This window comes from Homo sapiens, chromosome 1 (genome assembly GCF_000001405.40).
Source record: "Homo sapiens chromosome 1, GRCh38.p14 Primary Assembly".
Lineage (NCBI taxonomy): Eukaryota > Metazoa > Chordata > Mammalia > Primates > Hominidae > Homo > Homo sapiens.
Window position 1 is genome coordinate 181,880,175 of NC_000001.11, and position 12,573 is coordinate 181,892,747.

Consider the following 12,573-nt stretch of genomic DNA (forward strand, 5'->3'; position numbering starts at 1 on the left):
CTCCATGGGACAGCCAAGGAACTGTGAATCTGCTTGGTTTCTCAGCTGGGAGGCTTGTAGCCTGGGGCAAGTTCTCAGCCCTGCTCATTGGCTGCCTGGAAATAAACTTGGTACTGTTGCGGGGACATGGTGGGAGTGAGATGGGCCTTTCACATGGCAGGCTGCATGGGAACTAGGTGAAGCCTGTGGCTGCTGGCTTTTCCCCACTTCCCTGGTGACCTGTGTGACACAGCAGACACAACCATAGTTCCCCATAACATAACTCCATTGGCCTGGGTACCACATCCCCATCTGCCATAGCAGCTGTAGCAAGCCCTGCCCAAGGAGAGTCTGAGCTCAGTCATTATACAAAAAAGATACCTGCACATGCATGTTTATAGCAGTACAATTCACAAATGCAAAAATATGCAACCAGCCCTAATGCCCATCAAGCAACAAGTGTGTGTGTGTGTATATATATGTTTTTGTGTGTATATATATGTATGTATATATATGTGTGTGTGTGTATATATATACACAAACATATTTGCAAACACACACACATATTTACATATAGACACACACACCATGGAATACTAGTCAGGCATAAAAAGAAACAAAACAATGGCATTTACAGCAACCTGGGTGAAACTGGAGACCATTATTCTAAGTGAAGTAACTCAGGAACGGAAAACCAAAGATCACCTGTTTCTCATTCATAAGTGGGAGCTAAGCTATGAGGACGCAAAGGCGTAAGAATGATACAGTGGACTTTGGGGGCTTGGGAAAGGGTGGGATGGGGGTGAGGGATAAAAGACTACAAATTGGGTACAGTGTACACTGCTCAGGTTACAGGTGCACCCAAATCTCAGAAATCACCACTAAAGAACCTGTTCGTGTAAACAAACACCACCTCTTTCCCAGAAACCTATTGAAAAGTGGGAAAACAACATGAAGAGACACTTTTAAAAGGAAGACATACATGCAGCCAACAATAAAAAGATCATTTAAACATAATAAAAGGGTCAGTGCAACATAACAATTCTAAATGTTTATAAATCTTATAACAAATTCAAATACATAAAACAAAAACTGACCAAACTTCAAGGAGAAAGACAAGTCCATAATTGTAGCAATAGCTTCCAATACTTTCTCTCAAAACTTGATAGAATATGAATACATAGGCCAGGCATGGTGGCTCGTGCCTCTAATCCCAGCAGATTGGGAGGCCAGGGCAGGCAGATCACTTGAAGTCAGGAGCTCAAGAACAGCCTGGCCAACATGGTGAAATCCTGTCTCTACTAAAAATACAAAAAAAATTGGCCAGGCATGGTGGTGTGAGCCTGTATTCCCAGCTACCTGGGAGGCCGAGGCAGGAGAATCACCTGAACCCGGCAGGGAGACATTGCAGTAACCTGAGATTGCAGCCTGGGTGACACAGTGAGATCCCATCTCAAACAAACCAACAAACCCATAAAAATCAGTAAGAATGTAGAAGACTTGACTATCAACCAACTCAAACAAATTTGTATGTATAGAATACTCTGGCTGACAATATCAGAGTAAATATTCCCTTCAAGTACATGAGGAATATTTACCAAGATAGACTATACCTTGGCTCATAGAGCAAGTCTCAGTATACTTGAAATGAAAAAAAATCATATAAAGCATGTTCTCATGTTCTCTGACCACATTGCAATTAAATACAAAATCAAGAACAGAAAGATACCTGGAAAATGTCCAAATATTTGGAAACAAAAATGAGTTTCTAAATAACCCATGGGACAAAGAAGATGTCTAAAGGGAAATTAGAAATTATTTTGTACTGAATGAAAATAACATAACAGATCAAAATATTTAAGATCCTACTAAAGAAGTAAATAGGGAAAATCAAATGCATATATTAGAAAAGCCTCACATCAATGAGCTGATCTCGCATCAATGACCTGAGATCTATCTTGCATCAATGACTTGAGATTCTATCTTAAGCTAGAAAAAGAACAAACTAAATCCAAGGTAAGCATAAGATAAAAATAAATATTACAGTGGCTATTAACAAAATAAAAAACAGGATTCCATTCCAAGATGGCTAAATAGTAACAGCTCCAGTCTACAGCTCCCAGCATGACTGATGCAGAAGATGGGTGATTTCTGCATTTCCAACTGAGGTACCTGGTTCATCTCATTGGGACTGGATGGACAGTGGATACAGCCCACAGAAGGTGAGCCAAAGCAGGGTGGGGCATCGCCTCACCTGGGAAGTGCAAGGGGTCAGGGGATTTCTGTTTCCTAGCCAAGGGAAGCCATGACAGACGGTACCTGGAAAAACAGGACACTCCCACCCAAATACTGTGCTTTTCCAATTTTCCAACAGTCTTAGCAAATGGCACACCAGGAGATTATATCCTGTGCCTGGCTCAGTGGGTCCCACACCCACGGAGCCTTGCTCACTGCTAGCGCAGCAGTCTGAGATTGACCTGCGAGGCAGCAGCCTGGCAGGGGGAGGGGCATCTGCCATTGCTGAGGCTTGAATAGGTAAACAAAGCAGCCAGGGAAGCTCAAACTGTGAGGAGCCCACCACAGCTCAGCGAGGCCTGCTGCCTCTGGGGGCAGGGCATAGCTGAACAAAAGGCAGCAGAAAATTCTGCAGACTTAAACATTTCTGTCTGACAGCTCTGAAGAGAGCAGTGGTTCTCCAAGCACAGTGTTTGAGCTTGGAGAATGGACAGACTGCCTCCTCAAGTGGGTCCCTGACCCTCGTGTAGCCTAACTGGGAGATACTTCCTAGCAGGGGCTGGCTGACACCTTATACAGGCAGGTGCCCCTCTGGGACGAAGCTTCCAGAGGAAGGATCAATCAGCAATATTTGCTGTTCTGCAATATTTGCTGTTCTGCAGACTTCGCTGATGATACCCAGGCAAACATGGTCTGGAGTGGACCTCCAGCAAACTCCAACAGACCTGCAGCTGAGGGTCCTGACTGTTACAAGGAAAACTAACAAACAGGAATAGCATCAACATCAAAAAAAAGGACATCGACACCAAAACCCCATTTATAGGTCACCAACATCAAAGACCAAAGGTAGATAAAACCACAAAGATGGGGAGAAACCAGAGCAGAAAAGCTGAAAATTCTAAAAACCAGAGTGCCTCTTCTCCTCCAAAGGATCACAGCTCCTCGCCAGCAGTGGAACAAAGCTGGATGGAGAATGACTTTGACAAGCTGCAGAAGTAGGTTTCAGAAGGTCAGTAATAACAAACAGAAGGATGTTCAAACCCCAAACCCATCACAAGTAAGCTAAACACCTTGAAAAAAGATTAGATGAATGGCTAACTAGAATAAACAGTGTAGAGAAGACCTTAAATGACTTGATGGAGCTGAAAACCATGGCACGAGAACTTCGTGACACGTGCACAAGCTTCAATACCCGATTTGATTAAGTGGAAGAAAGGTTATCAGTGATTGAAGATCAAATTAATGAAATAAAGTGAGAAGAGAAATTTAGAGAAAAAAGAGTAAAAAGAAATGAGCAAAGCCTCCAAGAAGTATGGGACTATGTGAAAAGACCAAACCTACATTTGATTGGTGTACCTGAAAGTGACAGGGAGAATGGAACCAAGTTGGAAAACACTCTTCAGGATATTGTCCAGGAGAACTTCCCCAACCTAGCAAGGCAGGCCAACATTCAAATTCAGGAAATACAGAGAACACCACAAAGATACTCCTCAAGAAGAGCAACCCCAAGACAGATAATTGTCAGATTCACCAAGGTTGAAATGAAGGAAAAAATGTTAAGGGCAGCCAGACAGAAAGATCGGGTTACCCACAAAGGGAAGCCCATCAGACTAACAGCTGATCTCTCAGCAGAAACTCTATAAGCCAGAAGAGAGTGGGGAGCCAATATTCAACATTCTTAAAGAAAAGAATTTTCAATGCAGAATTTCATATCCAGCCAAACTAAGCTTCATAAGTGAAGGAGAAATAAAATCCTTTACAGACAAGCAAATGCTGAGAGATTTTGTCACCACCAGGCCTGCCTTACAAGAGCTCCTGAAGGAAGCACTAAACATGGAAAGGAAAACCCGTACCAGCCACTGCAAAAACATGCCAAACTGTAAAGACCATTGATGCTAGGAAGAAACTGCATCAACTAATGGGCAAAATAATAAGCTAACATCATAATGAGAGGATCAAATTCACACATAACAATATTAACCTTAAATGTAAATGGGCTAAATGCCCCTGTTAAAAGACACAGACTGGCAAATTGGATCAAGAGTCAAGACCCATCAGTATGCTGTATTCAGGAGATCCATCTCATGTGCAAAGATGCACATAGGCTCAAAATAAAGGATGGAGGAAGATCTACCAAGCAAATAGAAAAAAAAAAAGAGCAGGGGTTGCAATCCTAGTCTCTGATAAAACAGATTTTAAACCAACAAAGGTCAAAAAAGACAAAGAAGGCCATTACATAACGGTAAAGGGATCAATTCAACAAGAAAAGCTAACTATCCTAAGTACATACACACCCCAAACAGGAGCATCCAGATTCATAAAGCAAGTCCTTAGAGACATACAAAGACAGACTCCCACAAAATAATAATGGCAGACTTTAACATGCCACTGTCAATATTAGACAGATGAACAAGACAGAAGGTTAACAAGGATATTCAGGACTTGAACTCAGAACTGAGTTGAACAAGCAGACCTAATAGACATCTACAGAACTCTCCACCCCAAATCAACAGAATATACATTCTTCTCAGCACCACATCACACTCATTCTAAAACTGACCACATAATTGGAAGTAAAGCACTCCTCAGCAAATGTAAAAGAACAGAAATCAGAACAAACTGTCTCTCAGACCACAGTGCAATCAAATTAGAACTCAAGATTAAGAAACTCATTCAAAACCACACAACAACATGGAAACTGAACAACCTGCTCCTGAATGACTACTGGGTAAATAATAAAATGAAGGCAGAAATAAGGATGTTCTTTGAAACCAATGAGAACAAAGACACAATGTACCAGAATCTCCGGGACACATTTAAAGCAGTGTGTAGAGGAAAATTTATGCTACTAAATGCCCACAAAAGAAAGCAGGAAAGATCTAAAATCGACACCCTAACATCACAATTAGAAGAACTAGAGAACCAAGAGCAAACACATTCAAAAGCTAGCAGAAGGCAAGAAATAACTAAAATCAGAGCAGAACTGAAGGATATAGAGACACAAAAAAACCCTCCAAAAAAAATCAAAGAATCCAGGAGCTGGTTTTTTGAAAAGATCAACAAAATTGATAGACTGCTAGCAAGACTAATAAAGAAGAGAGAAGACTCAACTAGATGCAATAAAAATGATAAAGGGGATATCACCACCGATCCCACAGAAATACAAACTACCATCAGAGAATACTATAAACACATCTGTGCAAATAAACTAGAAAATCTAGAAGAAATGGACAAATTCGTGTACACATACACCCACCCACGACTAAACCAGGAAGAAGTTGAATCTCTGAATAGACCAATAACAGGCTCTGAAATTGAAGCAATAATTAATCACCTATCAACCAAAAAAAAGTCCAGGACCAGGCGGATTCACAGCTGAATTCTACCAGAGGTACAAAGAGGAGCTGTTACCATTCCTTCTGAAACTGTTCCAATCAATAGAAAAAGAGGGAATCCTCTCTAACTCATTTTATGAGTACAGCATCATCCTGATACCAAAGCCTGGCAGAGACATAACAAAAAAAGAGAATTTTAGACCAATATCCCTCATGAACATCATTGTGAAAATCCTCAATAAAATACCAAAAAACCAAATCCAACAGCACGTCAAAAAGCTTATCCACCACAATCAAGTTGACTTCATCCCTGGGATGCAAGGCTGGATTAACATATGCAAATCACTCTGGTGGTAGTTTCTTTTGCTGTGCAGAAGCTCTTTAGTTTAATTAGATCCCATTTGTCAATTTTGGCTTTTGTTGCCATTGCTTTTGGTGTTTTAGACATGAAGTCCTTGCCCATGCCTATGTCCTGAATGGTATTGCCTAGGTTTTCTTCTAGGGTTTTTATGGTTTTAGGTCTAACATTTAAGTCTTTAATCTATCTTGAATTAATTTTTGTATAAGGTATAAGGAAGGGATCCAGTTTCAGCTTTCTACATATGGCTAGCCAGTTTTCCCAGCACCATTTATTAAATAGGGAATCCTTTCCCCATTTCTTGTTTGTGTCAGGTTTGTCAAAGATCAGATGGTTGTAGATATGGGGCATTATTTCTGAGGGCTCTGTTCTGTTCCATTGATCTATATCTCTGTTTTAGTACCAGTACCATGCTGTTTTGGTTACTGTAGCCTTGTAGTATAGTTTGAAGTCAGGTAGTGTGATGCCTCCGGCTTTCTTCTTTTGGCTTAGGATTGACTTGGCGATGCGGGCTCTTTTTTGGTTCCATATGAACTTTAAAGTAGTTTTTTCCAATTCTGTGAAGAAAGTCATTGGTAGCTTGATGGGGATGGCATTGAATCTATAAATTACCTTGGGCAGTATGGCCATTTTCACGATATTGATTCTTCCTACCCATGAGCATGGAATGTTCTTCCATTTGTTTGTATCCTCTTTTATTTCATTGGGCAGTGGTTTGTAGTTCTCCTTGAAGAGGTCCTTCACATCCCTTGTAAGTTGGATTCCTAGGTATTTTATTATCTTTGAAGCAATTGTGAATGGGAGTTCACTCATGATTTGGCTGTTTGTCTGTTATTGGTGTATAAGAATGCTTGTGATTTTTGTACATTGATTTTGTATCCTGAGACTTTGCTGAAGTTGCTTATCAGCTTAAGGAGATTTTGGACTGAGACAATGGGGTTTTCTAGATATACAATCATGTCATCTGCAGATAGGGACAATTTGACTTCCTCTTTTCCTAACTGAATACCCTTTATTTCCTTCTCCTGCCTAATTGCCCTGGCCAGAACTTCCAACACTATGTTGAAAAGGAGTGGGGAGGGAGGGCATCCCTGTCTTGTGCCAGTTTTCAAAGGGAATGTCTCCAGTTTTAGCCTATTGAGTATGATATTGGCTGTGGGTTTGTCATAGATAGCTCTCATTATTTTGAGATATGTCCCATCAATACCTAATTTATTGAGAGTTTTTAGCATGAAGAGTTGCTGAATTTTGTCAAAGGCCTTTTCTGCATCTATTGAGATAATCATGTGGTTTTTGTCTTTGGTTCTGTTTATATGCTGGATTACATTTATTGATTTGCGTATGTTGAACCAGCCTTGCATCCCAGGGGTGAAGCCCACTTGATCATGGTGGATAAGCTTTTTGATGTGCTGCTGGATTCAGTTTGCCAGTATTTTATTGAGGATTTTTGCATCAATGTTCATCGAGGATATTGGTCTAAAATTCTCTTTTTTTGTTGTGTCTCTGCCAGGCTTTGGTTTCAGGATGATGCTGGCCTCATAAAATGAGTTAGAGAGGATTCCCTCTTTTTCTATTGATTGGAATAGTTTCAGAAGGAATGGTACCAGCTCCTCCTTGTACCTCTGGTAGAATTCGGCTGTGAATCCATCTGGTCCTGGACTTAAGAGTGAACAGGCAACCTACAAAATAGGAGAAAATTTTCACAACCTACTCATCTGACAAAGGGCTAATATCCAGAATCTACAATGAACTCAAACAAATTTACAAGAAAAAAAAAACAACCCCATCAAAAAGTGGGCAAAGGATATGAACAGACACTTCTCAAAAGAAGAGATTTATGCAACCAAAAAACACATGAAAAAATGCTCATCATCACTGGCCATCAGAGAAATGCAAATCAAAACCACAATGAGATACCATCTCACACCAGTTACAATGGCGATCATTAAAAAGTCAGGAAACAACAGGTGCTGGAGAGGATGTGGAGAAATAGGAACACTTTTACACTGTTGGTGGGACTGTAAACTAGTTCAACCATTGTGGAAGTCAGTGTGGCGATTCCTCAGGAATCTAGAACTAGAAATACCATTTGACCCAGCAATCCCATTACTGGGTATATACCCAAAGGATTATAAATCATGCTGCTATAAAGACACATGCACACATATGTTTATTGTGGCACTATTCACAATAGCAAAGACTTGGAACCAACCCAAATGTCCAACAACGATAGACTGGATTAAGAAAAGGTGGTACATATACACCATGGAATACTATGCAGCCATAAAAAATGATGAGTTCATGTCCTTTGTAGGGACATGGATAAAACTGGAAACCATCATTCTCAGCAAACTATCGCAAGGACAAAAAACCAAACACTGCATGTTCTCACTCATAGTTGGGAATTGAACAATCAGAACATTTGGACACAGGGTGGAGAACATTACACTCCAGGACCTCTCGTGGGATGGGGGGCTTGGGGAGGGATAGCATTAGGAGAAATACCTAATGTAAATGATGAGTTAATGGGTGCAGCAAACCAACATGGCACACGTATACCTGTGTAACAAACCTGCACGTTGTGCACATGTACCCTAGAACTTAAAGTATAATAAAAATAAATAAATAAATAAAATCAAAAACAAAAAAAGGAAATATCAAAATCAAAAGCTGGCTCTTTGAGGATATTAATAAAATTGATAAGCTTTCAGCAAGACTGATAAGGAAAAAAGAAAAACACTCAAAACACCAATATTAAAAATGGGAGAAAATACAGCACCACAGATCCTTCAGATATTAAAAGGATAGTAAAAAGATATTACAAGCAACTTTATGCCAATAAATTCCATAACTTAGATGAAATAGACAAGCTCCTTATACACAAACTACCAAAAACTCACTCAAGAGGAGAATCGTTTGAACCCAGGAGGCAGAGGCTGCAGTGAGTCGAGATGCACCACTGCACTCCGGTCTGGGAGACAGAGTGAGGGAAAAAAAAAAACACTGGGGCCAAGATGGGCAAAAAGAAACAGCTCCAGTCTGCAGCTCCTAGTGAGACCAACACTGAAGGCAGGTGATTTCTGCATTTCCAACTGAGGTACCCAGTTCATCTCACTGGGAATGGTTAGACCGTGGGTGTAACCCATGGAGGGTGAGCAACAGCAGAGTGGGGCGTCACTTCACCTGTGAAGTGCAAGGAGCCAGGGGGACCTCCCTCCCCCAACCAAGAGAATTCATGTGGGACTGTGCTACCCTGCCCAGATACTATACTTTTCGCACGGTTTTTGGAATCTGTAGATCAGGAGATTTCCTCATGTGCCTACACAATCAGGGCCCCAGGTTTCAAGCACAAAACTGGGTGGCTGTTTGGGCAGACACTGAGATAGCTGTAGGAGTTTTTTTTTTCTTTTGTACCCCAGTGGTGCCTGGAACCCCAGCGACAGAACCGTTCACTCCCATGAAAAGGGGGATGAAGCCAGGGAGCCAAGTGGTCTTGCTCAGTGGGTCCCACTCCCATGGAGCTCAGCAAGCTAAGAACCACTGGCTTAAATTCTCACTGCCAGCACAGCAGTCTGAAGTTGACGTGGGACGAACCAGCTTGGAGGCGGGAGGGGCACCCACCGTTACTGAAGCTTTAGTAGGCGGTTTTCCCCTGACAGTGCTAAGGAGGCTGGGAGGTGTGGACTGGGCAGAATTCACCATAGCATGGCAAAGCAGCTGTGGCCAGACTGCTTCTCTAGATTCCTCCTCACTAGGCAGGGCATCTCTGAAGAAAAGGTAACACCCCCAGTCAAGGGCTTACAGATTAACTTCCATCTCCCTAGGATGGAGCACGTGGGGGAAGGGTTGGCTGTGGGCACATCAGCAGCAGATTTAATCTCTCCCACCTGCCTGCTCTGAAGAGAGCAGCTGATCCTGACAAGACGGATTCTCCCAGCACAGCGTACCAGCTCTGCTAAGGGACAGACTGCCTCCTCAAGTGGGTCCCTGGGTCCCTGACCCCCATGCCTCCTGACTGGGAGAGATCTCCAAATAGGGGTTGACAGACACCTCATACAGGAGAGCTCCAGCTGGAATCAGGCCAGTGCTCCAGAGGAAGGAGCAGACAGTAATCTTTGCTGTTTTGCAGCCTCTGCTGGTGATACCCAGATGAACGGCATCTGGAGTGGACCTCCAGCAAACTGCAGCAGACCTGCAGAAGAGAGGCCTGTTAGAAGAAAAACTAAAAAGCAGAATGCAACAACATCAAAATCAACAAAAGGGACCCCCACACAGAAACCCCATTCAAATGTCATCAGATTCAAAGATGAAAGGTAGGTAAATCCACAAAAATGAAAAAAAAAAAAAGGTGCAAAAATGCTGAAAATTCCAAAAACCAGAATGCCTCTTCTCCAAATGGTCACAACTCCTCTCCAGCAAGGGCACAAAACTGGACAGAGAATGAGACTGATGAATTTGCAGAAGTAGGCTCCAGGAGGTGGGTAATAACAAACTCCTCTGAGCTAAAGAAGCATGTTCTAACCCAATGGAAGGAAGCTAAGAACCTTGATATAAGGTTACAGGAACTGCTCACTAGAATAACCAGTTTAGAGAGGAACATAAATGACCTGATGGAGTTGAAAAACACAGCATGATAACTTCATGAAGCATAAACAAGTATCAATAGCTGAATCAATCAAGCAGAAGAAAGAATATCAGAGATTGAAGATCAGTTCACTGAAATAAGGCATGAAGACAAGATTAGAGAAAAAAGAATGAAAAGGAACAAACAAAGCCTCCAAGAAATATGGGACTATGTGAAAAGACCAAACCTACATTTGTTTGGTGTACCTGAAAGTGATGGGGAGAATGGAACCAAGTTGGAAAATGCACTTCAGCATATTATCCAGGAAAATTTCCCCAACCTAGCAAGAGAGGCCAATATTCAAATTCAGAAAATACAGAGAACACTACTAAGATACTCCTCAAGAACAACCCCAAGACACGTAATTGTCAAATTTTCCAAGGTTGAAACGAAGAAAAAAATGTTAAGGACAGTCAGAGAGAAAGGTCAGGTTAACTACAAAGGGAGGCCCATTGGACTAACAACAGATCTCTCTGCAGAAACCCTAGAAGTCAGAAGACAGTGGAGGCCAATATTCAACGTTCTTAAAGAAAAGAATTTTCAACACAGAATTTCATATCCAGCCAAATTAAGCTTCATAAGTGAAGGAGAAATAAAATCCTTTACAGACAAGCAAATGCTGAGGGATTTTTGTCACCACCAGGCCTGCCTTATAAGAGCTCCTGAAGGAAGCACTAAATATGGAAAGAGAAAACCAGTACCAGTCATGGCAAAAACACACCAAAATATAAAGACCAATGACCTATGAAGAAACTGCATCAACTAATGTGCAAAATAACCATCTAGCATCATGATGATAGGATCAAATTCACACATAACAATATAAATCTTAAATGTAAATTAGCTAAATACCCCAATTAAAAGACACAGACTGGCAAATTTGATAAAGAGTCAAGACCCATTGGTGTGCTGTATTCAGGAGACCCATCTCACATGCAAAGACACACACAGGCTCAAAATAAAAGGATGGAGGAATATTTACCCAGCAAATGGAAAGCAAAAAGAAGCAGGGGTTGCCATCCTAGTCTCTGATAAAACAGACTTTAAACCAACAAAGATCAAAAAAGACAAGAGCATTACGTAATGGTAAAGGGATCAATGCAACAAGAAGAGCTAACTATCCTAAATACATATGCACCTAATACAGGAGCATGCAAATTCATAAAAAAATTCTTAGAGACCTATGAAGAGACACAGATTCCCTCACAATAATAGCGGGAGACTTTAACACCCCACTGTCAATACTAGACAGATCAATGAGACAGAAAATTAACAAGGATATTCAGAACTTGAACTCAGCTCTGGACTAGGTGGACCTAATAGAAATCTACAGTACTCTCCACCCCAAATCAGCAGAATATACATTCTTCTCAATACCACGTACCATTTATTCTAAAATCAACCACATAATTGGAAGTAAAACACTCCTCCGCAAATGCAAAAGAATGGAAATTATAACAAACAGTCTTTCAGACCACAGTGCAATCAAATTAGAACTCAGGATTAAGAAACTCACTCAAAACCACACAACTACATGGAAATTGAACAACCTGCTCCTGAATGACAAAACAGCATGATACTGGTACCAAAACAGATATACAGACCAAAGGAACAAAACAGAGACCTCAGAAATAACACCACACATTTACAACCATCTGATCTTTGACAAACCTGATGAAAACAAGAAATGGGGAAAGGATTCCCTATTTAATAAATGGTGCTGGGAAAACTGGTTAGCCCTATGCAGAAAACTGAAACTGGACCCCTCCCTTACACCTTATACAAAAATTAACTCAAGATGAAGTAAAGACTTAAATGTAAAACCTAAAACCATAAAAACTCTGGAAGAAAACCTAGGCAATACCATTCAGTACATAGGCATGGGCAAAGACTTCATAACTAAAACACCAAAAACAATGGCAACAAAAGCTGAAGCTGACAAATGGGGTCTAATTAAACTAAAGAGCTTCTGCACAGCAAAAGAGACTATCATCAGAGTGAAAAGGCAACCTACAGAATGGGAGAAAGTTTTTGCAATCTAT